The sequence below is a fragment of the Homo sapiens genome, chromosome 13 (assembly GCF_000001405.40).
Source record: "Homo sapiens chromosome 13, GRCh38.p14 Primary Assembly".
NCBI classification, from domain to species: Eukaryota; Metazoa; Chordata; class Mammalia; order Primates; family Hominidae; genus Homo; species Homo sapiens.
Window position 1 is genome coordinate 49,157,512 of NC_000013.11, and position 26,627 is coordinate 49,184,138.

The following is a 26,627-nucleotide window of genomic DNA, read 5'->3' on the forward strand; positions in this document are numbered from 1 at the left end:
CTCTCAGCTCGTCAAAGTCATTCTCCATCCAGCTTTGTTCCGTTGCTGGTGAGGAACTGCGTTCCTTTGGAGGAGGAGAGGTGCTCTGCGTTTTAGAGTTTCCACTTTTTCTGTTCTGTTTTTTCCCCATCTTTGTGGTTTTATCTACTTTTGGTCTTTGATGATGGTGATGTACAGATGGGTTTTTGGTGTGGATGTCCTTTCTGTTTGTTAGTTTTCCTTCTAACAGACAGGACCCTCAGCTGCAGGTCTGTTGGAATACCCTGCCGTGTGAGGTGTCAGTGTGCCCCTGCTGGGGGGTGCCTCCCAGTTAGGCTGCTCGGGGGTCAGGGGTCAGGGACCCACTTGAGGAGGCAGTCTGCCCGTTCTCAGATCTCCAGCTGCGTGCTGGGAGAACCACTGCTCTCTTCAAAGCTGTCAGACAGGGACATTTAAGTCTGCAGAGGTTACTGCTGTCTTTTTGTTTGTCTGTGCCCTGCCCCCAGAGGTGGAGCCTACAGAGGCAGGCAGGCTTCCTGGAGCTGTGGTGGGCTCCACTCAGTTCGAGCTTCCCGGCTGCTTTGTTTACCTAAGCAAGCCAGGGCAATGGCGGGCGCCCCTCCCCCAGCCTCGCTGTCGCCTTGCAGTTTGATCTCAGACTGCTGTGCTAGCAATCTGTGAGACTCCGTGGGCGTAGGACCCTCCGAGCCAGGTGCAGGATATAATCTCGTGGTGCGCCGTTTTTTAAGCCGGTCGGAGAAGCGCAATATTCGGGAGGGAGTGACCCGATTTTCCAGGTGCGTCTGTCACCCCTTTCTTTGACTCGGAAAGGGAACTCCCTGACCCCTTGCGCTTCCCAAGTGAGGCAATGCCTCGCCCTGCTTCGGCTCGCCCACGGTACGCGCGCTCACTGACCTGCGCCCACTGTCTGGCACTCCCTAGTGAGATGAACCCGGTACCTCAGATGGAAATGCAGAAATCACCAGTCTTCTGCGTCGCTCACGCTGGGAGCTGTAGACCGGAGCTGTTCCTATTCGGCCATCTTCGATTGCAAAAATTTTCTCCCATTCTGTAGGTTGCCTGTTCACTCTGATGGTAGTTTATTTTGCTGTGCAGAAGCTCATTAGTTTAATTAGATCCCATTTGTCTATTTTGGCTTTTGTTGCCATTGCTTTCGGTGTTTTAGTCATGAAGTCCTTGCCTATGCCTATGTCCTGAATGGTAATGCCTAGGTTTTTCTTCTAGGGTTTTTATGGTTTTGGGTCTAACATTTAAGTCTTTAATCCATCTTGAATTAATTTTTGTATAAGGTGTAAGGAAGGGATCCAGTTTCAGCTTTCTACATATGGCTAGCCAGTTTTCCCAGCACCATTTATTAAATAGGGAATCCTTTCCCCGTTTCTTGTTTTTGTCAGGTTTGTCAAAGATCAGATGTTTGTAGATATGTGGTATTATTTCTGAGGGCTCTGTTCTGTTCCATTGGTCTACATCTCTGTTTTCTTACCAGTAACATGCTGTTTTAGTTACTGTAGCCTTGTAGTATAGCTTGAAGTCAGGTAGCATGACGCCTCCAGCTTTGTTCTTTTGGCTTAGGATTGTCTTGACAATGTGGGCTCTTTTTTGGTTCCATATGAACTTTAAAGTAGTTTTTTCCAATTCTGTGAAGAAAGTCAATGGTAGCTTGATGGGGATGACATTGAATCTATAAATTACCTTGGGCAGTATGGCCATTTTCACGATATTGATTCTTCCTATCCATGAGCATGGAATGTTCTTCCATTTGTTTGTGTCCTCTTTTATCTCATTGAGCAGTGGTTTGTAGTTCTCCTTGAAGAGGTCCTTCACATCCCTTGTAAGTTGGATTCCTAGGTATTTTATTCTCTTTGAAGCAATTGTGAATGGGAGTTCACTCATGATTTGGCTCTGTTTGTCTGTTATTGGTGTATAGTAATGCTTGTGATTTTTGCACATTGATGTTGTATCCTGAGACTTTGCTGAAGTTGCTTATCAGCTTAAGGAGGTTTCGGGCTGAGACACTGGGGTTTTCTAAATATACAATCATGTCATCTGCAGACAGGGACAATTTGACTTCCTGTTTTCCTAACTGAATACCATTTATTTCTTTCTCCTGCCTGATTGCCCTGGCCAGAACTTCCAACACTATGTTGAATAGGGGTGGAGAGAGAGGGCATCCCTGTCTTGTGCCAGTTCTCAAAGGGAATGCTTCCAGTTTTTGCCCATTCAGTATGATACTGGCTGTGGGTTTGTCAAATAGCTCTTATTATTTTGAGAGACGTCCCATCAATACCTAGTTTATTCAGAGTTTTTAGCATGAAGGGCTGTTGAATTTTGTCAAAGGCCTTTTTCTGCATCTATTGAGATAAACATGTGGTTTTTGTCTTTGGTTCTATTTATATGATGGATTACGTTTATTGATTTGCATACGTTGAACAAGCCTTGCATCCCAGGGATGAAGCCAACTTGATCATGGTGGATAAGCTTTTTGATGTGCTGCTGGATTCGGTTTGCCAGTATTTTATTGAGGATTTTCACATCGATGTTCATCAGGGATATTGGTCTAAAATTCTCTTTTTTTGTTGTGTCTCTGCCCGGCTTTGGTATCAGGATGATGCTGGCCTCATAAAATGAGTTAGGGAGGATTCCCTCTTTTTCTATTGATTGGAATAGTTTCAGAAGGAATGGTACCAGCTCCTCTTTATACCTGTGGTAGAGTTCAGCTATGAATCCATCTGGTCCTGGGCTTTTTTTGGTTGGTAGTCTATTAATTATTGCCTCAACTTCAGAGCCTGTTATTGGTCTATTCAGGGATTCGACTTCTTCCTGGTTTAGTCTTGGGAGGGTGTATGTGTCCAGGAATTTATCTGTTTCTTCTAGATTTTCTAGTTTATTTGCATAGAGGTGTTTATAGTATTCTCTGATGGTAGTTTGTATTTCTGTGGGATTGGTGGCGATATCCCCTTTATCATTTTTTATTGCATCTATTTGATTCTTCTCTCTTTTCTTCTTTATTAGTCTTGCTAGCGGTCTATCAATTTTGTTGATCTTTTCAGAAAACCAGCTCCTGGATTCATTAATTTTTTGAAGGGTTTTTTTGTGTCTCTATCCCCTTCAGTTCTGCTCTGATCTTAGTTATTTCTTGTTTTCTGCTAGCTTTTGAATGTGTTTGCTCTTGCTTCTCTAGTTCTTTTAATTGTGATGTTACGGTGTCGATTTTAGATCTTTCCTGCTTTCTCTTGTGGGCATTTAGTGCTATAAATTTCCCTCTACACACTGCTTTGAATGTGTCCCAGAGAATCTGGTATGTTGTGTCTTTGTTCTCATTGGTTTCAAAAAACATCTTTATTTCTGCCTTCATTTCGTTATGTACCCAGTAGTCATTCAGGAGGAGGTTGTTCAGTTTCCATGTAGTTATGCGGTTTTGAGTGAGTTTCTTAATCCTGAATTCTAATTTGATTGCACTGTGGTCTGAGAGACAGTTTGTTATAATTTCTGTTCTTTTACATTTGCTGAGGAGTGCTTTACTTCCAACTATGTGGTCAGTTTTGGAATAAGTCTGATGTGGTGCTGAGAAGAATGTATATTCTATTGATTTGGGGTGGAGAGTTCTGTAGATGTCTATTAGGTCCAGTTGGTGCAGACTTGAGTTCAAGTCCTGGGTATCCTTGTTAACTTTCTGTCTTGTTGATCTGTCTAATGTTGACAGTGGGGTGTTAAAGTCTCCCATTATTAATGTGTGGGAGTCTAAGTCTCTTTGTAGGTCTCTAAGGACTTGCTTTATGAATCTGGGTGTATATATATTTAGGATAGTTAGCTCTTCTTGTTGAATTGATCCCTTTACCATTATGTAATGGCCTTGTCTCTTGACCTTTGTTGGTTTAAAGTCGGTTTTATTGGAGACTAGGACTGCAACCCCTGCTTTTTTTTGTTTTCCATTTGCTTGGTAGATCTTCCTCCATCCCTTTATTTTGAGCCTGTGTGTGTGTCTGCATGTATTCAGCAGATGGGACCCCTGAATACAGCACACTGATGGGTCCTGACTGTTTATCCAGTTTGCCAGTCTGTGTTTTTTAATTGGGGCATTTAGTCCATTTACATTTAAAGTTAATATTGTTATGCGTGAATTTGATCCTGTCATTATGATGTTAGCCGGTTATTTTGCCCATTAGTTGATGCAGTTTCTTCCTAGCATCGATGATGTTTACAATTTGGCATGTTTTGCAGTGGCTGGTACTGATGGTTCCTTTCCATGTTTAGTGCTTCCTTCAGGAGCTCTTGTAGGGCAGGCCTGGTGGTGACAGAATCTCTCAGGATTTGCTTGTAAATTTGTCTGTAAAGGATTTTATTTCTCCTTCACTTATGAAGCTTAGTTTGGCTGGATATGAAATTCTGATTGAAAATTCTTTAAGAATGTTGAATATTGGCCCCCACTCTCTTCTGGCTTGTAGGGTTTCTGCCGAGAGATCTGCTGTTAGTCTGATGGGCTTCCCTTTGTGGGTAACCCGACCTTTCTCTCTGGCTGCCCTTAGCATTTTTTCCTTCATTTCAACTTTGGTGAATCTGACAGTTATGTGTCTTGGGGTTGCTCTTCTCAAGGAGTGTCTTTGTGGTGGTCTCTGTATTTCGTAAATTTGAATGTTGGCCTGCCTTGCTAGGTTGGGGAAGTTCTCCTGGATAATATCCTGAAGAGTGTTTTCCAGCTTGGTTCCATTCTCCCTGCCACTTACAGGTACACCAATGAGACGTAGATTTGGTCTTTTCACATAGTCCCATATTTCTTGGAGGCTTCTTTCGTTTCTTTTTACTCTTTTTTCTCTAAACTTATCTTCTCACTTCATTTCATTAATTTGTGCTTCAGTCACTGATACCCTTTCTTCCACTTGATGGAATCTGGTACTGAAGCTTGTGCATGTGTCACGTAGTTCTCGTGCCATGGTTTTCAGCTCCATCAGATCATTTAAGGTCTTCTCTATGCTGTATATTCTAGTTAGCCATTCGTCTAATCTTTTTTCAAGGTTTTTAGCTTCCTTGTGACGGGTTCAAACATCTTCCTTTAGCTTGGAGAAGTTTGTTACTACCAACTTTCTGAAGTCTACTTCTGTCAACTCGTCAAAGTCATTCTCCGTCCTGTTTTGTTCCCGTTGCTGGCAAGGAGCTGTGATACTTGGAGGAGAAGGGGTGCTCTGGTTTTTAGAATTTTCATCTTTTCTGCTCTGGTTTCTCCCCATCTTTGTGGTTTTATCTACCTTTGGTCTTTGCTGATAGTGACCTACAGATGGGGTTTTGGTGTGGATGTCCTTTTTGTTGATGTTGATGCTATTCCTTCCTGTTTGTTAGTTTTCCTTCTAACAGTCAGGTCCCTCAGCTGCAGGTCTGTTGGAGTTTGCTGGAGGTCCACTCCAGACCCTGTTGCCTAGGTATCACCAGCGGAGGCTGCAGAACAGCAAATATTGCAGAACAGCAAATATTGCTGCCTGATCCTTCCTCTGGAAGCTTCGTCTCAGAGGGGCACCCAGCTGTATGAGGTGTCAATCAGCCCCTACTGGGAGGTGTCTCCCAGTTAGGCTACTCGGGGGTCTGGGACCCACTTGAGGAGGCAGTCTGTCCCTTCTCGGATCTCAAACTCCGTGCTGGGAGAACCACTACTCTCCTCAAAGCTGTCAGACAGGAACGTTGAAGTCTGCAGAAGTTTCTGCTGCCTTTTGTTCAGCTATGCCTTGCCTCCAGAGGTGGAGTCTACAGAGGCAGGCAGGCCTCCTTGAGCTGCAGTGGGCTCCACCCAGTTTGAGCTTTCCGGCTGCTTTGTTTACCTACTCAAGCCTCAGTAATGGCGGACGCTCCTCCCCCAGCCTCGCTGCCACCTGGCAGTTCGATCTCAGACTACTCTGCTAGCAGTAAGCAAGGCTCTGTGGGCGTGGGACCCTCCATGCCAGGCCCTGGATATAATCTCCTGGTGTGCCGTTTGCTGAGACCATTGGAAAAGCACAGTATTAGGGTGGGAGTGTCCTGATTTTCCAGGTACCATCTTTCATGGCTTCCCTTGGCTAGGAAAAGGAATTCGCTGACCCCTTGCACTTTGTGGGTGAGGCTATGCCCCACCCTGCTTTGGCTCACACTCCTTGGGCTGCACCCACTTTCCAACAAGTCCCAGTGAGATGAACCTGGTACCTCAGTTGGAAATGCATAAATCACCCATCTTCTGTATTGCTCACACTGGGAGCTGTAGACTGGAGCTGTTCCTATTCGGCCATCTTGGATCAGCCTCCTTAAGTAGAAAGTTTAATCCATTTATCTTAAAGTTACTATTGACACGTGAGAGTGTATTCCTGTCATTTTATTAATTGATATCTGGTTGTTTTTATGTTCTTTGTTTCATTCTTTCTTATTATGATTGTGGTTTGGTGGTTTTCTGTAATGGTACATTTGAGTTATTTTTCTTCCTCATTTGTGTGCTTGCTCTATCAGTAAGTTTTATACTTTCATGTGTCTTCATGACAGCAGATATTGTCCCTTTGTTCCAGGTGTAAGACTCCCTCAAGCATTTCTTATAGAACTGCTGTAGTCGTAATGCATTCCCTCAGCTTTTGCTTGTCTGGAAAATACCTTATTTCTCCTTCCTCTTCAAAGTTATGAAACATAACTTTGTTGGGTATAATATCCTTGGCTGACAGCTGTTTTTCTTTCAGCACTTTGAATACATCATCCCATTCCCTGCTGGTTTGTAAGTTTTCTGCTGAGAAATCCCGTTAGTCTGATAAGAGTTCTCTTACAGGTGACTAGATGCTTTTCTCTTACTATCTTTAGAATTTTCTTTGTTTTTTACTTTTGACAGTTTGACTATAATTTCATGCAGAAGACCTTTTTGCATTCTGTCTCTTTTGTATCTATATCTGTTTCATATCTGACTCTCTGAGCTTTCTGTGTCTGGATATCTAAATCTCTTGCTAGACTTGGAAAGTTTTCAGCTATTATTTTGTTGAGTAGGTTTTCTAACCCTTTTATTTTCTCTTCACCGTTTAGGATACCAAAAATTCAAATATTTGGTTGCTTTATAGTGTCTCATATGTCACATAGGCTTTGTTCATTCATTTTTATTCTTCTTCTTTTTTTTTTTCTTGAGACAGAGTTTTGCTCTTGTTGCCCAGGCTGGAGTGCTGTGGCATGAACTCGGCTCACTGCAACCTCCACCTCCCAGGTTCAAGCAGTTCTCCTGCCTAAGCTTCCCAAGTAGCTGGGATTACAGGTGCCCGCCACCACCGGCCGGCTAATTTTTTGCATTTTTAGTAGAAATGGAGTTTCGCCTTGTTGGGCAGGCTGGTCTTGAACTCCTGAGGTGATCCGCCTGCCTCGGCCTCCCGAAGTTTATCTTTGTCTCACTGGGTTATTTCCAGAGACCTGACTTCACATTCTGAAATTCTTTCATCAGCTGTTTTTAGTCCTTTGTTGATGCTTTTGAATGTGTTTTGTATTCCATTTAATGAATTCTTCAGTTCCAGAATTTCTGTTTGGTTCTTTCTTATAATTATGTTTCTTTGGTAAATTTCTTATATTCCAAATTGTTTTTCTAAATTATTTGTATTGCTTTTCTGTTTTTTCTTATATTTGAGCTGAGCATCTTTAATATCACTATTTCAAATTTATAATCTGGGATTTCTTAAATTTTTGTTTTTGATTGGAATCTGTTGCTGGAGGATTATTGTGTTTCTTTGGAGGTGTCATATTGCCTTGCTTTTTCATATTTCTTGTGTCCTTATGTCAGTATCCATGCATCTGGTATAGCAGTCACTTCTTTCAATTTTTTGAGGTTGCTTTCATAGGGGAGGACTTTTTCCTGAAGATGCATCTATTGTGTTGGTTGGGTAGAACACTTTGACTTTGATTCAGGGTACATGCTGAAGTGTAGTCTTTGTATAACTTCTGCTATAAACAGTGTTATGGTGTCTGTGATTTCCACAGTGGCTTAGGGTGCAGTTGTTAGTGGAGGCTGTAGTGAAGTTTTGCTGGGGATGGGGATGTGAGGTGGGCCTGTCCTCGGGCCTCAGTAGGGGCAGCAGCAGGCCCAAGCCTACCTGTCCTTGGGCCCCCAGGTGTTGTACATGAGTACCAGTGTTAGCAAATCCAGGCATGCTGATTCTTGGGCCTCTAGGCAGCTTGCTCAGGTGCTAGTAGTGGCAGCAGTGGGTCAGGCAGGTGGCCAGGTGGGTTCTTTGGCCTCTGGAAGCAGATATGGCTTCGGTGATGTCATTAGCAATGGCAGGACTAACCTCTGGGTTCCAAGCAGTCCATGCTGATGTTGATGGTGACTGTGACAGGCTGGGCAAGCCAGTCCCCAGGCCCACAGGTGGTACATGCAGATGGGTGCCTGCTGCAGTGATTAAAGGCAGGTTGGGTGGGCTCAATCTCAGGCCACCAGGAGGAGTGCTCAGGTGTGTGGCACAGGTGATGGACTGGGCTAGGTAGTCCCCAGGCCTCCCAGACAGTGTGCTCAAACACTGGGGGCACAGAGCCAAGACCTGTCCTCAGGCCCTCCAGTGGTGTTTGTAGGTGCTAACTGTGTTGGCAGGGTAGGGATGACCCCCAGGCCCAAGGAAGAATCCTCAGGTGGAGGCGGCAGTGGCTATGCTGCAGACCTGCTATTAGGGAGGGCTTTCAGTGGCAACAGCTATATGCAGGCTGCTAGGGAATACCCACTTCACTTGCGCTTTGGCCCCAGCTGCAGCAGCCCACAGCTGCAGTTGCTGCAGACAGGAAGTTTGTCCTTGGAGTGCATGAAGATGTGCAGCAGCTTCACTGCTGGGGGCAACAGGATCTTTGCCAGTGGCTCAGGCTTTAGTCCTGAAAGCAGCAGCCAGTGACAGTGGTGGCCTGTGGGTAGGAAATGTCAGTGGGGCTCCAGACATGTGGAGATGTGGGGACTGTAGGGCTTGTGGGCAGGATGCAGTCTTTTGGGGGTTGTGCTCTCAATATGATACCTTGTTCTAGCTGCTTAGGGTTTGGGAAGTATATAGGACCCAGCGTGAACTCCCTCTCTTGAGCAATGTCTTGCACAACTCCAGGCATCTCCCTATGTTAGTTGCAGCCCACAAGGGTCTAGGGTCTTTCCCATGACTAGAATACAGGAGTCCACGGTGGGAATGTGTACCACTGGGGGTCACTTACTTACCCTTTCCCCACACTGGACAACCTTTCTAGGCTCCCAGCTGATTGCAGCCGAGCAGGCTTACTTCCTTCTCCTTCCTTGTTTTACATGTTTCCAGTTTAATTCCAGTGTTCTCTCTTAGGTGATCTGTTCAAAGTGTAACATTTTAAATGAAGTTCCACATTATTTTCTAATAAAATAGTGGCAGAGTCCTTGTAAAAAATTGGCAATTTTGCTTTCAACAGTACATGTTTTATTTATTAACTGTGCAAAATGGATTTTTAAATAATTGATAATAGTTTTGTTTCTTCAGTAAGCTAAATATCTTCCTTAACTCCACTCCAAAAAAAAGAGTCTGGCTTACACAGCTGATTTGCTTAGCACTACCTTCTGTTTTAAAGTAGTATGCAGGTACACATGTTAAGTTTGTTACATATCCTAACTGCCAAATTCCATATTAGTGGAATCTGAATACAGTTACAGTTGGTAAAGAAAGAAGTAGTTTCATAAAATACTCTAAACTATAGTGTATATAATGTACATTGGTTGAAAATGCTTTATTTATCAGACATGATATATTACCCTTTTTTCCCCAGAGGAGAAGAAACAAATATCACTTTAAATGATCTCAAGCCAGCCATGGATTACCATGCAAAGTAAGGAATTCCTACAGATTGCCTTTATAAGATACAGCATAAGGGGTTTTTTTTTTAAATAATTATTTTCTTAAAAATCTAGTATATAATTTAAACATTAATTTTGGATTAAAAACAGACTTTGTGGGCTGGGCGCAGTGCGCCCGTAATCCCAGCACTTTGGGTGGCCAAGACGAGGATTTCTTGAGCCCAGGAGTTCAAGACCAGTCTGAGTGACATAGTGAGACCCTATCTCGACAAAGAAATCCAAAAAGTAGCCAAGCATGGTGGTGCAGGCCTGTGGTATCAGCTACTCGGAAGGCTGAGGTAGGAGGATTGCTTGAGCCCAGGAGGTTAAGACTGCAGTGAGCCATGATTGTGCCATTGTATTCCAGCCTGGGCTACAAAGTGAGACCTTGTCTCAAACAAAAAAAAAAACTTTGCAGACTTCAGTTTTTCTATTGGTAAAATTATCAAAATTTTTCCAAAAAAAAAACATTTAACTCATGTTACAGTCAAGGACTAATCATCCTGTTTGTAGAATTTTGGGTTTGGAATGAATCTGTAGAATATGTCTGTAGCATCTGGTTTGGCACTGGAAACTTGTCCCAGCTTTTGGAATTTTTATAAAATAATTATAAATATTTTGTTTACACATATCTTTTACTACATCCTGTTTTAGGGTTCGGGATACCAAGACTCTAGAATTTCACAACATTTAATAGGAAGAACTTAGATAATGTTTTACTCTATGCAGGTCTTCTAGTGTAATTTACTAAAATTTCATAGACTCTAGGGCTTACCCAGCTGAAGCCTAATATAACACATTTAGTTAATTACCCCCATTTTTAAAAAGAGCACATGTGGTTGGGATTATTTCTGTTAAACTACTAAGTGTTCAAGTGTACTTACTATGGATATACTCAAAGTATTGTCCAACCTAACCTTTTTCAAACTGTAGATTGTAGTCACATTTAATCATGAATTTAATTCTGTGGGTTATATTCAGCATTTTTTAAAAAAGAGAAATAGAATCAAATAGGACAGAAAGCATCAGTGTATTCCCCATAGTTGAGAACATTGTTTCAGGAATATATATGCACACTCACAGTTATATCACAATTTTAAATTATTTCTTTGGGTTGCAGCAAAAAAGAAAAAAAAACTTGTCCTTTTTTTTTTAACGGTCACCTTTTACTTCTAATAGTCATATTTTCTTGATAGAACTTTTAGTGGACACCTTCCTAATCTGCAAGTACTTAAAGGTGACACTATTGAAAACAGGATACAGTGATTATGAAAGGTAAAACTATTTATTTTATCACCATAGAGTCCAGGCAGAATATAATTCTATAAAGGGAACTCCTTCAGAGGCTGAAATCTTTACCACCTTGAGCTGTGAACCTGATATACCTAATCCACCAAGGATAGCCAATCGGACCAAAAATTCACTCACTTTGCAATGGAAGGTAAGAATATTCTTTAGGGTGTTTCCAACTGGACATGTGTTTCTTTGTTTCCCCTGGTAGTATTAAGTTTCAATTGTTGCTGGAGACAAAGAGCTTTAATTTGTTCCTGCTTTTTACATATAAGACACAAATGCCTATTTAATGTATCTTAAAATAGCACTGTTACTGGTTTTTCTTACTATATGTAAATATAGCAAAAACGATTTGTAATTAACAGTCCTTATTACATTGCACATGTGATGACATTGAGATTCACAACAGTGATTCTTAACCCATTACTCCTTTTTGTAATATTTCGTCATGATGCCTTTATATTCTGAATTGTATTCTAAAATTAGATTTATAATAACTATACTCATAAATCAATATGCTGCCTAAAAGGAGGAATAAAGTTATTGTCAATAGAAAAATATATATTTTAATTCATAAACGTTTGGTCCTAGCTACACAAGAAGATACAATGAAGTGGACAGATACCATACATAGAATTAGTCATTCAAATACCACAGACAACATTGTCACTGATTATATAATTTTCTGAAATAGTGTGGACTTGGTAAATTTCTGAACAAATTAAATGCAGTCTTTCCCAGATTGCACAGTTATTGCATTTTGGAAAACTTGGTGTCTGTTAAAACCATACAAAAAATACTTTATAAAATGGGATTTGGTTCTTCAATTCTGATAGATATTCAGAAGTCCTAGAGGAAGAGAACAATTCCCCATCATACTGATTGTCCCCCATTCTGCAGGGCTATTAGCGCCCTTGATCTTCACCCCATACCACCAGACTCTCCCCTCCTGCATTATTGTGATCAGGTTAGAAATAGCCCCCACAAAATTTCAAAACATCCCCTAGAATGGGGTACCACTCCTGTTAGCATTGGTTTGCAGTGAGATGTAACTGTTCCTCTTGATTTTAATTATCTGTCCTTGCTTTGAGAGCAAGCTCAGGGCTAGCCTTACTTTTGAAAGCTTTTAAAAATGTGGGGCTTACTACTTGTTCTGTAGCTTGTTAGTTTCTAGTTCTTCTGAGGATATTAGATACTTTTGTAGTCAAAAAGTACTGTTAACACATGTAAGTCAAGCAGCTGTGTATATATACATATATTCATGTGTGATAAAAAAGTATGACTAATTTTATTTCGTGTCACTTACAGTAGTATTTTATTTGTGGATATGCTCAGACCCTTTCCTTTGGTAGAGCAGTTGAGGTAGCAGCCCATTGTTGTTTATATAGGTTAAGATTTCTGTAGGTGACTGTTCTTTATTTCGAAGATAATTAAAATAGAATTTTGAAATGTCTGCCTTTAACAATATCCTAACATCCCTATATAAGATGTAGGTGGTGGTACCTCAGATTACCCACACAGGTTTCCCAGGCTTGAACCCTTCTAGAAATGACCCTATATACACACACAGTAATCAACATGGTTGGAAAAAGATATCATTGTCACTGTTATTGGAGGATAGTATTATATACCTCAGAGTCGGGAGGATTAAACAGGTAACATCTAAATCGCCCATAGTATAATGTCTGGAACATAATGAGCGTAATAACTATTGTTATTTAATATTAAAAATGAAGAAAAGTCACTAAAAGTAGTTTAGTGACTTGAATATCTGGTCTTTTGACTCTGCTACCTCACCTAATCTAAAAGCATTCCTATGGTGGTTAACATGGGAGATAGCAGTTGAGAGAGGTATCTTATTAACTGACATTGTTTAGAATTGCCAGAGCATGGTGATGACAAAAAGCTCACTAAAGATGGTCTTTTTCTGTCTTATTGCCAGTCCCCCAAGGCAGACTATCTACTTCTCAGCCCCTAGAATAGTGCTGGGTAGGAACACTGATTTTTGTGGGCAGATAGAACAAATTCAGTTCTGCTCTACTTTTAATGACTTTGTGATCTGGGATGATTTATTTGGTTCTTTGAAGCCCTCATTTTCTCTTTTGTAAAGTTCAGGTAATAGTACTTCATAGAGTTGATTGGAGGACTAAATGAGATAAGGTAAAACACTTTACACTTAATAGTATCCCCTCAAACTTGGAGAAAAGCTAGAGGATCAGTCTTAGGTTAAGGTGGACATTTTAATAGCCTCACTGGAAAAAGAGAAAAATTAATCAAGTAAGTGTGAGAGACCTCAGCAACTAGACTAGAGCAATCTGGAGTCATTAACACTTGGAAAATGTCTTTTTATATCCCTCACTTCCTGCTGAGACTTTTGATCTCTCTCTTTGGATTCTCTTCCTCTATATCATAAGAGCTGGAGTTTCCCAAAGATTCTTCCTCTGCCCCGTTCACATTATATTCATTTTTAACTGCCACTACTTTGCCAGTCAGTGAGATATTACCCTAACTTACAAGCAAATTCTGGCCATGCTAACCAGTTTAAAATTATAATTTAAAAAAAATTAATGTAAGATCTGTATTAGCGTTTAACAAATAATTTAGACCTCCATGTTCATCTGTATTAAAAACTTAATGATCCTTGATTGCCATTTACATAGTTAGCAATATTATATAAAAACTGGATAGAGTCCAAAAAACATCATTTCAAAAATTAAAATGGTTTAATTTTGACCAGGGGAGTCTTAAAGTCAATTGTCTGCAAATATATGGAGTTATAATAAGAATAGGGGTGACCATTTATTCTGCAAAGAGGAAATGGGCTGAAATTGTAGAAGGAAAATTCAGATGGAAGTAAGGTTGAAATTCTTGATTTTTAGAGTGATTAAATACTGAAATAAAATGCCAAGGGAGACTGCATACTTTTACACCTAAAATAATAACAGATTGCTGAGTCAGCAGTCTCAGGTAACCAGCACAGTGAGTATAGAAACAAGGACCAAGACACTGCCCTCTCAGAGCTCCTTTCAGCACCCTGGTTCTTCACTCTTTGGTATTTTATACAATATTCCATTTATTTTGTAAGGTGAGTTTTAATACAAATGACAGGATCAATCCTACAACCTTAAAGCTGATAAAACTCTCTGGAAGAAAAGCAAAATGGTTTTTTTAAAGACTTTTTCAAGTTATTAATAGTTCTTGCTAAAAGAGATTGTTCAGTGTTCGGAAAGACTTGAGTAGCTTCTTGCTTTCTTTCCTTAAATTTGAAAGGATTATAGGGCATACAATACATATATTTTTGTATTTTTATGAACATTTTCGCAGGACCAAGTCACAGAAAACATCTGCCACATAAACTAGATCCTTATATTAGATCATCACAGTATCATTTATGAATGTACTAATTTGTTTTCATTTTGTTTTTTGGTGTTGGTTTTAGGCACCTAGTGACAATGGTTCTAAAATCCAAAACTTTGTATTAGAATGGGATGAAGTAAGTAAATTGAATCTTTTTAAATGGTTAACATTATGTGCATATGTTCAGGCAAAATTAACTTTTTTGTTTGTTTTAATCATCAAGTATATTCTTCTGTCAAAAAAAGTATGAATGATTTTGTGTGGTGCATGAGTGGATTGATGGTGTTTTCAGAAAACATTCCTGACTTAACTTCCCTATTTTCAATAAATCACCATCAAAATTATTATTTAGGTAACTACCTTGATAAAGGAACTTTTTTTTCACATCAGCCTTAAAGACAAGTGTATTCCTTTCCTATGGCTGCTATAACAAATTACCCCAAACCTGACATTAAAACAGCACATTATTCTCTTACTTTTCTGGAGGCCAGAAATCCAAAATGAGTTTCTCTGGGACAAAATCAAGGTGTCAGCATGGCCAGGCCCTCTCCAGGGACTTTAGAGGAGAATCTGTTTCCTTGCCTTGACCAGCTTCTGTAGGCTGTCCTCATTACTTGGTTCATGGCCACATCACATTGCGTTTTCTCCCCTTGTTTCCATCATCACATCACCTTCCTCCTCTGTCTTCAAATCTGTCTTCCTTTTTTAGGAACACTTATGATTCCATGTAGGGTCTATTCAGATAATCCAGGATAAGCTCCTATCTCGAGATTCTTAGTCACATTGTACAGTCCCACCTACCATATAAGGTTATATTCACAGGTTCAGGGGATTGGGACCTGGATATTCATGGTGGCCATGACTCAGCCAACCACAGCAAGCATACTGGACTTCATTGTTTAGTACAGGGGTGTCCAGTCTTTTGGCTTCCTTGGGCCACACAAAATACTACATTTGTGCAAAGGTAGTTGCTGTTTTTGCCATTAAAAGTAATGGTAAAAACAGCAGTTACTTTTGCACCAACCTACATTAACACTAACAATAGCTAATGAGCTTTTAAAAAAATGACAAAAATATCTCATAATGTTTTAAGAAAGTTAACAAATTTATGTTGGGCCACATTCAAAGCTGTCCTGGGCCGCATGTGGCCCTTGGGCCGCAGGTTGGACAAGCTTGGTTTAGTACATTGTTTTTACTATCAGTTACCATGTTCTCTCTTGCCCTATGGCTTGTACCAAGCTAAGAAGAGGGGCCAGAGGGAGTGGAAGAAATTCCATTGATAAGTTGGGAATTCGGCAGTATATTAAAAGAATAATAAAGCACAACCAAGTAGATTTTATTCCGGAAATTCTAAGATAATTTAGAATTAGGAAACCTATTAACATATCACATTAATTTAGAAGAAAACTATATTGCTAAATTAAGGAAGAGTATTTGATAAAAATTACCATTCATCTCAGTTAAAACTCAAAGCAGATTAGGAATAGAAAGGTAATTTCTTACTTGATAGTTATTTTTGTACCATCACTAAACAAAGGCATTTTTATGCAAAGCTGAAATAAGTCAAGATTGCCAATTATCCCTACCTTTATTTAACATTATTTCAGAAGTTACACTTAAGGCAGTATGACTTGAAACCAAAGCAAAAAGTACAGTCATGGTGTCTGGCTCGGGGCAAAACTGTCATTATTTAGAGATGATATGATTTTCTACTTAGAAACTCAGTCGAATCAACTAAACAACATCAGAACTAAAAAGAGCATTTAGTAAAGCAGTCAAGTACAGTCTACAGGTTTTCTTTGAAGCAGAAGTCACCCTAACTACCATTTTATCTCTAGCAACACAATAAAGAAAAATGGGTGGCAAATGTGAAACTTACCCATTTTAGTTACCACTCTAAATTTCTAAAACTCTTTAGTTGTCCTCTTTTCTCTCTCCTTCTTATTGCCTGTAATTGGGCTGTGCTCTCTGCTAGAACATTTTCAGTGTTAATCTAAGCAGTAGAAGCGCCAAAAGTTTTATTTTAAAGAAGTTTATGAGCTATCTAGTTGGAAGTTTGGGCATGGGTAAGGACCTTTTCTTAAAACTGTCTGCTTAGAGCTTTCCATAGGTTGAAAAAAGCCGCCAGTTGACCCTATCAAAGATCGTCACCCCATTTCTACCACTGGTAGTCTTCTATGGAGATTGTAGGGTCCATACCTGCAGAGTTTCCTTTATTAAAGCCAGAGATTTAACATTGGCTAAAAGATGGTACTTAATTCAAGAAGCTGTACAAAGATACCTGCTCTCTGGTGTTTTAATTCTGCATTTGATGATCTATATCATATAAAAGATGTGCTGTATCTCAGCCTTCTCTTGAGATCCATGACTTTTAGTATACACTTGCTAATATGTAACTGTCAAGAAGGAATTGATGCGAATTTATCTTTTTACAGTAATGTACATGGTATATAATAATCAGCCATTTCTTGTAGGGAAAAGGAAATGGAGAATTTTGTCAGTGTTACATGGGCTCACAGAAACAATTTAAAATTACTAAACTTTCACCAGCAATGGGCTGTAAATTCAGACTATCGGCCAGAAATGACTATGGTACAAGGTAAGGTGTACTTTATAAAAGAATGTAAATATTTTTAGATTATCAAGTCAACGTCAATTGTATAATTATTTACTGTCCAAATTATTCATTAAAAATTCTGCTTAGTTTATCTCTTTGTTGATATAGTTAAGATGTGTTACCAGTCTAGCAAAAGCTATAAGAGAGTTAGTTACATAGGAACCACAGGAAACATTAAACTTACAACTTTCCAAGATTTTCAGATATAAATTAGATTTTTATATGTGACAAAGAGATTTTTCTTTTGCTCCTCAGCATATGTGATGACAGTATTTTGTTTAAAGTCAGGTGAACTGTAAGAACATCTAAAATACCCAATTTAAATAGAAAGGCCAAGTATCTTTCAAGAGTCATTGAAATTATTTTTGTTCTAGAGATAGCTCTGCTCACCTTAGGGGCAGGTGCGTTTAATTACACAACTGAGAACTTACATTTTCTATTTTATATAAATGGCATTATATGAAAGTGTGTTTAAAAGTTACAACATTTACACCAATACACGAGTGTTATTGTTTCCATAAGGTAATGTGTATATTTTTTCATTGACTCGATAAATTATGATATAAAGGCTTACAAATCTGAACAAAACTGCATTTTTAATAGAACACTAATTCACTGTTTGGTATCTGACCTGGTTATCATAAAGAGATCAAACCCAAGATATATTATTTGTATTATAATTCATTATCAAAACTTGTCATTTTCCAAAAAAATTACATCTGTCACAAACTTGTTCTTTCACTGTAAAAATAACTTTTTCATGCCTTTTAAAACCATTTGTTTCAACAGTGGTTTTAGTGAAGAAGTCTTATATTACACCTCAGGCTGTGCTCCTTCTATGCCAGCAAGTCCTGTATTAACCAAGGCTGGAATTACTTGGTTATCCTTACAATGGAGTAAGCCCTCAGGAACACCATCAGATGAAGGAATTTCTTACATTTTAGAGATGGAGGAAGAAACTTCAGTAAGTGCAAATATGGATTTTAAATAGTGTATTTAAAACATTTTCAGCTTAAGGAGATTTTGGGCTGAGACGATGGCATTTTCTAAATATACAATCATGTCATCTGCAAATAGAGACAATTTGACTTCCTCTCTTCCTATTTGAATACGCTTTATTTCTTTCTCTTGCCTGATTGCCCTGGCCAGAACTTCCAGTACTATGTTGAATAGGAGACGAGGGCATCCTTATCTTGTGCCAGTTTTCAAAGAGAATGCTTCCAGCTTTTGCACATTCAGTATATTGGCTGTGGGTTTGTCATAAACAGCTCTTATTATTTTGAGATACATTCCATCAGTACCTAGTTTATTGAGAGTTTTTGGCATGAAGGGGTATTGAATTTTATCAAAGGCCTTTTCTGCATCTATCGAGATAATCATGTGGTTTTTGTCATTGGTTCTGTTTATGTGATGGATTACGTTTATTGATTTGCATATGCTGAACCAGCCTTGCATTCCTAGGGATGAAGCCAACTTGATCATGGTTTTTCGATGTGCTGCTGGATTCAATTTGCCAGTATTTTATTGAGGATTTTTGCATCAATGTTCATCAGGCATATTGGCCTGAAATTTTCATTTTTTGTTGTGACTCTGCCAGGTTTTGGTATCAGGATGATGCTGGCCTCATAAAATGAGTTAGGGAGGAGTCCGTCTTTTTCTATTGTTTGTAATAGTTTCAGAAGGAATGGTACCAGCTCCTCTTTGTACCTCTGGTAGAATTTAGATGTGAATCCATCTGGTCCTGGGCTTTTTTTGGTTGGTAGGCTATGCTGGAAACCATTATTCTCAGCAAACTAACACAGGAACAGAGAACCAAACACTGCATGTTCTCACTCACAAGTGGGAACTGAACAATGAGAACACCTGGACACAGGGAGGGGAACATCACACAGCAGTGCCTGTTGGAGGGTGGGGGGTTAAGGGAGGGATAGCATTAGGAGAAATACCTAATGTAGATGATGGGTTGATGGGTGCAGCAAACCACCATGGCACATGTATACCTATGTAACAAACCTGCATGTTCTGCACATGTATCTCAGAACTTAAAGTATAATTTTTTAAAAAATCAGAAAAAAAAACATTTTAGTGTGGCATTAATCCTAATACAATAAATATTGCCACTCCTAATACAGTAAGTATTGCCACAGTAGTTAGCTCATTTCCCAGTCCTTTGAAGCCTTGGCTTGTTACTGTTTGGGAGAGGTTAGGTATGATGGAGAACTCAGTCTTTTTTTTTCTTTTGCAACAGGGTCTTGCTCTGTAGCCCAGGCTGGAGTGCAGTGGCACAATCTCAGTTCACTTCAGCCTTGAACTCCTGGGCTCAGGCAATCCTTTCACCTCAGCCTTTCAAGTAGCTGGGACTACAGGCACATGCCACCATGCCTGGCTAATTTTATTTTTTGTAGTGACAGAGTTTCGCTATGTTGCCTAGGCTGGTCTCACACTCCTAGGCTCAAGTGGTCCTCCCACCTCAGCCTCCCAAAGTGCTGAGATTACAGACTTGAGCCACTGTGCCCAGCCTGAAAACTCTGTCTTTTCTTTTGATGTGAAGGGGGTTTTGTTTTATTTGTGTGTGTGTATATATGTCTGTCTGTGCTTTGGAACCACATAGGCTGCACTTTAACTATATCTGTTTTAGGGAAACTATGAGGAGGGGAAGATCACCACAGCCTTCTTGACTAAGCAGCTCTAAAAGATGAGGAAATATTGGGTCTGCCTTTCTCTAACTGTATTTATACACTGCTTCCCAAGGTGTCACAGAAGATTTTAAAAGTTTCCTGTGAAACTGTAGTACAGCCTGAATCTAGTTACACATCACTGACATCCTATTACCTAGAGGCTAGCTGACCAGGAGTTAGGGTGTATTCTATTATTAAATCTATATATAGTTCATAGATTTTCAGAGCTACTTTGAAGGAATATGGGTCAAAAATGGCATTGGTCCACCCCTAAGTATATACCCAAAAGAATTGAAAACACATGTTCATACAAAAAAATTGTACACAAATGTTCATAGCAGCATTATTCATAATAGTCAAAAAGTGGAAGCAACCCAAATGTCCATCAACAGATAGATGGATAAACAAAATGTGGTGTATCCATACAATGGAATATTTTTCAGCCATAAAAAGAGTACCAGTATATGCCACAACCTTGAAACCAACCTTGATGACCTATATGAACCAACCTTGAAAACATTATGCTAAAGAACCCAGTTACAAAAGACTCCATATTATATGATTCCATTTATATGGATATAGACAAATCCATAGAGACAGGAAGTATGTTAGTAGATAGGTGGAGGGAAGTGACTGCTACCCAAAAAAGGACAGGCTTTTTCTGAAATTAGGAATTAGGGGAAAGTTGCACAACTTTGTGAATACACTATAAGCCATTAGATTTTATACTTTGAAATGGTGAATTTTACAGTATATGAATTATATCTCAATTTTTTTAATTCAAAAAATGATAACGTTCGGAAAATTTGTAAAGCATTGTCACTAGTGCTGGAAATAGCCATCCCAAACCTAAGTGACATCCTCACCTGCCAGCACAATTAACCCTTCAATTATTTACTTAGACAACCATGTGTTAAAGGCAAGTTAAATATGTTAACTACTTACAGTTCTATTCAGCTCTTGCACGATGTCTCTGGGAAATCTCTGTTCTTGGGATAGCTTACTGATGGTGAAGTTACCATTGGCTCCAACTCTATAAACTCTTCCCTCAACACAAAGATCGTCTTCTCTTGGCTACTATATTTACTGAGACTAAGTGGCCTGCTTCATCTTCTACCAAATGTTCAATAAGCATTTCCGGGTCTACCCACTGAAGACAGAAGCATCGAGGTGAGGATTCCACTCAACAGAGCATTAGTCATATTGCACATAGTAGAAGATGAAGAGAAACCCGGGTCTTTTCACATATTCATTATTGCCCATATTTCTATTGTTAGACATCGAATGAAGACTTTGTTTTTTCCTTTTCCAGGGATATGGTTTTAAGCCTAAATATGATGGAGAAGATCTTGCTTACACAGTGAAAAATCTCAGACGTAGTACTAAGTATAAATTTAAGGTAAGCTTTGAAAACCCTTAAACGATTTGTTCCTTGTTCCTATTCTTACTGGTGTGGTGGGGTTCTTTGTTTTCTGTTTGTTTGTTTGTTTGTTTTTTGAGACGGGCTCTTACTCTGTCACCCAAGCTGCTGCAGTGGCACAATCATGGCTCACTGCAGCCACAACCTCCTGGGCTCAAGTCATCCTCCCACCTCAGCTTCCCAAGCAGCTGAGACCACAGGTGCATGCCACCACACCTGGCTAACTTATTTTGTAGAGACGAGGTTTCACCATCTTGCCCAGGCTGATCTCACACTCCTCGGTTCAAGTGATCTTCCTGCCTCGGCCTCCCAGAGTTCTGGGATTACAGACACAAGCCACTGCACCCAACCTCTATTCTTACTGTTTTAAAGACAAGTATATACTTCACTCCTTTGGTTTTAGATCTTAAATAATGTTGACCTTTTCTAGTGAGCTTTTTTGTTTTACTTTGTTATATAGCGGTGCTTCTCAAACTTTATATATTTAACAACCAATTTATATGGCTCTTATTTGTGTAATGTGACCAAACATCTTTTAAAATATGAATGTTAGAACATACTAAGTATATGCTTTGTTGGCAGGGATATCACAGAAAATAATGCTACATTTTTCTCAATGTAGCATATCAAGTGGTGTATAATTTCAATTTGTCTTATTACTGGTAGTCACTTGATAAAGCCTGTATCTACCATATTCTTCTCATATTTATAATAACTGTAAAGTTATTCTTTTTTGTTTGTAATTAATAAGTATTTTGTAAATACTGTGTACCCTGTGAGCATCTTGTTCCTCATCAAACTTTCATCCATAGTTTTAACACCCATTGGTGATACTTGCCTAAATCAATTATTACCATGATTGATGGTGCCAAGTGGTGATTTTTAAAATTTTATCATTTTTTCTACATTCATTAGTTGGTATTATACTGTAAGGAAAGAAAGACTTTCTCTTCTCCCCATTTATATCAGTATGTACTCATGGAAGTCTGTTAAATGGCTTATATTTTGTTACTTTGATTATTGTGAGGCTCAAATTGTCCCAGATTTGGGATCCCCTACAAGCTGGCTTCAGAATCCTTTTGACATGTCTCTCATTCTTTGAGCCCTTCCTTTCTGGCACAAGATTTCTAGTCTCATCTTAAACTTTACCTTCTTCAACTCTGGAATTGGCCATTTCTCAAAGCACCAGGATCCTTTTAGTGGACAGTGATATTTAGGAATCAAGATCTAGATACTAAGTATACTTAATTGCCATAGAGGTTTTACTGCTCCTGAGCACCCTCCCAATGGACACAGCTAGGAACTATATGTGTGTATATGTTTAGTTTATATACAGATATTTATACATGTGTATATACATAAATAGACAATTACAACACAGATACATATCTGTGTCTCTGTATCTCTGTATTTTTAAAAATCATGAGTTCACACCAGATACCTTCAATTCTAATCCAGTGCCACAGGTTAATTTTAGTTTTCCCCTGTCCTTATTTCTAACTTCCTTCATCATCAGTGAGAAACTTTGCTCATTAGTTGATAAATTCAACATTTAAATTTTCCTGCCAGTGCTTATTTAATCAAACCATTTCAAATAAATGATAAAAGCCACTGTAAATTGTTTTCACTATTAAAAAGCAAAGAAATTTTATTACTTCTTGAGAATCTTAAGTCTTTAGCAATGGGAAATTTGATTATTTAGCACATAATAATTGTTATGCTTTATTTTATGCTATTAGCTTCATTTTAAAAACTTATAATAATGCTATGTCAATTTAATTTCTAAATATGATTTTCATATTTACAAGATTTATAAAATACCTGAGAAATAGGCACATCCATTCCAGTTTTGTGATGATATTGGATTGTATTTTTGCTTCATTAATGAAGCATTCCAACAGGTCTCCTAAAGAGGAAGTTGTTAATGTCTTTGTAATTTGTTAAGTTTATGAAAATCCTAAAATTCTACTACCATGTAACACCATGGTATTATAGGGACTGAAATGGATACAAATATACATATGTGTTAAATTCCTTAGCATTCTACTATAAGCTAATCAAATTTCTATTTAGGCCAGGCATGGTGGCTCACACCTGTAATCCCAACTACTCGGGAGTCTGAGGCACAAGAACTGCTTGAACCTGGGAGGCAAATGTTGCAGTCAGCCAAGATTATGCCACTGCACTCCCGACTGGGCAATACAGCGAGATTCTGTCTCAAAAAAAAAAAAAATTTGTTTTTTCTATTTAAAAGCCACCAGGCATGGTAGCTCACGCTTGTAATAATCCCAACACTTTCGGAGGCTGAGACAGGAGGATCATATGAGCCCAGGATTTCAAGGCTGTAGTGAGCTATGATCGTGTCACTGCACTCCAGCCTAGGCAGCAGAGCAAGACCCCATCTCTTAATAATATTAACTAATTAATTAAAGTGTGTTTCACTATGGTGGTCACTGTCAAATTTCAGGGGAGGGAGAAGTATACAGTCAGAATCTCCAAGGAGACAGTAGGCTGTTGCACAAAATTCTCCCAGATAATGAGGTTGGAGATGGGAAAACAATATGTCTGAAAGCCACCTCTTTACTCATCACTGGATAAAAGGAAGGGGGCTATATTCTGGCTTATTAAGATGTGGAGCAATAGTTCTCAAAGTAGTCAGCAGGCCATTTTGTCAGTATCGCCTGAGAACTTGTTAGAAATGTAAATTCTCTGGCCCTGCCCCTCCCCACCCCCATCTACTAAATTAGAAATTTGGGGGGCAGAGGCCTAGCAGTCTGTTGTGGTATACTTCTAAGTAATTCTGATCCTTGCCAAAATTTGGAAACAACTGATCTAGAGGAGGAAAAAAAAACAGGAAGTAGAAAATGATGCTTGTATGAAGTTCTAGGAGCTCAGACACTTATTTTAAATCTGCCATGTGCAGGGAACCCAGCTTGAGGGCATTTTGAATCATTAAATCCTATTGTTGTGTCTTGGTCTTCCTTTTCTAGCTAGATATTGCAGATTCTTTCAAACAGTCGTATCAAAATAAAATCTTAATATTTTAGAGAGATCTTAGAACACTTTGAGAAAAGCTACAAAAAAAAAATAATCCAGGAAGTAATGACTAAGTAGCATATTATTATTCTGAAGAAACAATAAGAATATGATTAATGTAAAGTGAACTACTAATATGACCAAGTTTACCAAATACTAGAGCTCTAGGTTCTACACTGAGGACAATTCTGGGATAACCAAAATACTAAAACAAGATAAGAACAGTGAAAAAATTTAAATGATAAAGAAGAATGAAAATAAAATTTTATTTATTTATTTGTTTATTTTGAGACAGGGGCTCACACCATCACCCAGGCTGGAGTGCATTGGCACAATCATAGTTCACTGCAGCCTCAAACTCCTGAGCTCAAGGGTTCCTTCCACCTCAGCCTCCTGAGTAAGCTGGGACTACAGGCATGAGCCACCACACCTGGCTATTTTTTATTTTTTTATATTTTTTTGTGGAGATAGTTTTGTATGTTGCCCAGGATGGTCTTGAATTCCTGTACTCAATCAATCCTCCCACCTCAGCCTCCCAAAGTACTAGGATTACAGGCATGAGCCACGACACCCGGCCAAAAATAAAATTTTAAAGCACAGCAAAGCAGTCAGAATTCTTTAAAATTATTTAAAATTAAGAGTTATAAGCAATTCTAATTTCATCTAATGGTTCACTGAAGGCTGGGCTAGGACCTGGTGTCTAAATTTTTTTTTAAACGATCAAAGCCTTCAGAGCCGAGTGGCCAGTCCTATAATCCTAGGCCACTAGAAAACTGAATTTCCTGAATTTTCTGAAAAAGTTTTTCAAGTAGAAAGCCTTCTGGGATTTTTTTTTCTTTTTTTTTTTCCAGTCCCCACTTTGGATGTAGTAAGGCTTCTAAAGGTCAAGTTATCTTGAGCTAAGAACCTTTAGATACTTTCACTTTCAGCTTATTCCTTGTTTTTTGAGGTCTTTTTATAGGTAAAGAGAAATCAAAACAGCTTCTATCTGGCTCCGTTAACTACTTTTATGTTCCATCCTTGAAATTCATTTATGTCAGCATCTGTTACAGTACATAGTATGTAGTCATGTTTTCTTCCTCTCATCTTATCTGGTGTCACTTCTGCCCTAAGTGTGCCCTAGCTAAGTCCTTAGGTCTTCTTGGTGTATCCCTCTCTTGCTTGGATATACCATCTTTTTGCCTTCCATTTCTGTCTTGAAGAATACTAAATCTTCAAACATATTATGTATATAACTGCCTTCAGGCTCTTTTTTCACCTTCCAATCCAGGTTCTTTTCTATACCTAGATTAATCTTTCTGAAAAACACCTTTCCCTCTAAGAAACAATTTCCTTAGTTTGATATAAGATTCTTTATATTTCTGTTCAGTTTTTAAAATTTACTACCTTCCAGTCCATACTTGAACCAGCTACCTCACCAGATTAACTACTCATCTCTCCCTGAGCAGAGCTCACTGTTCACTATTCACTTGTGCTCTTATGTACAGGGCTTTCTGTTTTTTCTCTTACCCAAGCTTCCCCTTTGATTGCTGTTGCCCAGGAAGACTCCATAACACTTCCATTTCCCTTTTCAAAGCCTTCCTAAACCATTTTAGGCCTTAGTAATCTTTGTCCTCCTGCCCCATTCTTTTGATATGCATATTGCTTATCTTCTGCATGAAGATTCTAAATTCCTTCAAGGTACAATCTGCTCACACAGGGTTCCTAGCACAGTGCTCCTTATGTGATAGGCACTAAATGAACATTTTGATTATTTGTAAAATTTGGGTGGGGGGAGATTATCTTTTTGACTTTATACCTTTAATTACCTTTATGACTAGAAGGTGCTTTACAGTAAAAGGAGACAATGTTGAACTATAGAGCCTTAAAAACATAATTAAATGAATATAGTTTTTAGGAGGACTCTTCTGGTTAAAAGGTTTAAGTAGATTCTGTGCACAACATTGAGAAGTGTTTTAAACCCATTTGTAGTCTCATTTATAAAGGAGTAGAGTAAGAAAACATCCTGAAAATCCATGTGACTGTGAGAGGACTGAGGAAGCCTGAGCAAAATTGAACAATTGGACTAAACTTTACTGAGTTCTGATGGGCTCTGTGATTTATTTGGGGTGGTAGATTTACTCATATCCTTGTGTATGGTGTTATATAGCATCATAGTCCCCATCTATGAGTCATTCATTCAACCAATATCTGTTGAGCATCTACTCTCTGCTAAGCATTGTTCTAAACACTAAGACTACAACAGATATTCTGATGAGGGGAGTGGACAATAAATAAGCAAACAAATAGATTGTGGTAAGTGCAATGCAGGTTAATTAAAATAGAATGGGGTAAGAGAGAATGACTGGGTAGTTAAGGAAGTCTTCTTGGAAATGACATTTAAACAGATCTGAGTAACAAGGAAGTAACATGTCAAAATCAGAAAAA

The 26,627-nt window shown here is 38.8% G+C and overlaps 1 protein-coding gene across 7 annotated transcripts in view, besides 1 other annotated feature; it reads left to right on the forward strand.

The window, feature by feature from the left end:
* The window catches only part of FNDC3A (fibronectin type III domain containing 3A), a 234,489-nt gene that overhangs the window by 182,221 nt on the left and 25,641 nt on the right, over nt 1–26,627 (forward strand). For all 7 annotated transcript variants that reach the window (NR_103528.2, XM_017020440.3, NM_001079673.2 and 4 more), the window contains 6 exons: nt 9,733–9,792; nt 11,102–11,240; nt 14,532–14,585; nt 16,924–17,048; nt 17,856–18,030; nt 21,057–21,143. Coding sequence is in view for 6 of the 7 variants with exons in the window: in XM_017020440.3 (XP_016875929.1) it covers nt 9,733–9,792; nt 11,102–11,240; nt 14,532–14,585; nt 16,924–17,048; nt 17,856–18,030; nt 21,057–21,143 (640 nt within the window). In the remaining variant the exon portion in view is untranslated. The remainder of the gene's footprint in view (nt 1–9,732; nt 9,793–11,101; nt 11,241–14,531; nt 14,586–16,923; nt 17,049–17,855; nt 18,031–21,056; nt 21,144–26,627) is intronic.
* Nucleotides 7,842–8,399: an enhancer, noted in NCBI's record as "H3K27ac-H3K4me1 hESC enhancer chr13:49739489-49740046 (GRCh37/hg19 assembly coordinates)". NCBI's record gives its function as "activates a minimal SCP1, AML or CMV promoter by ChIP-STARR-seq in primed H9 embryonic stem cells {active_cell/tissue: H9 hESC(primed)}" and the evidence as "EXISTENCE:reporter gene assay evidence [ECO:0000049][PMID:30033119]".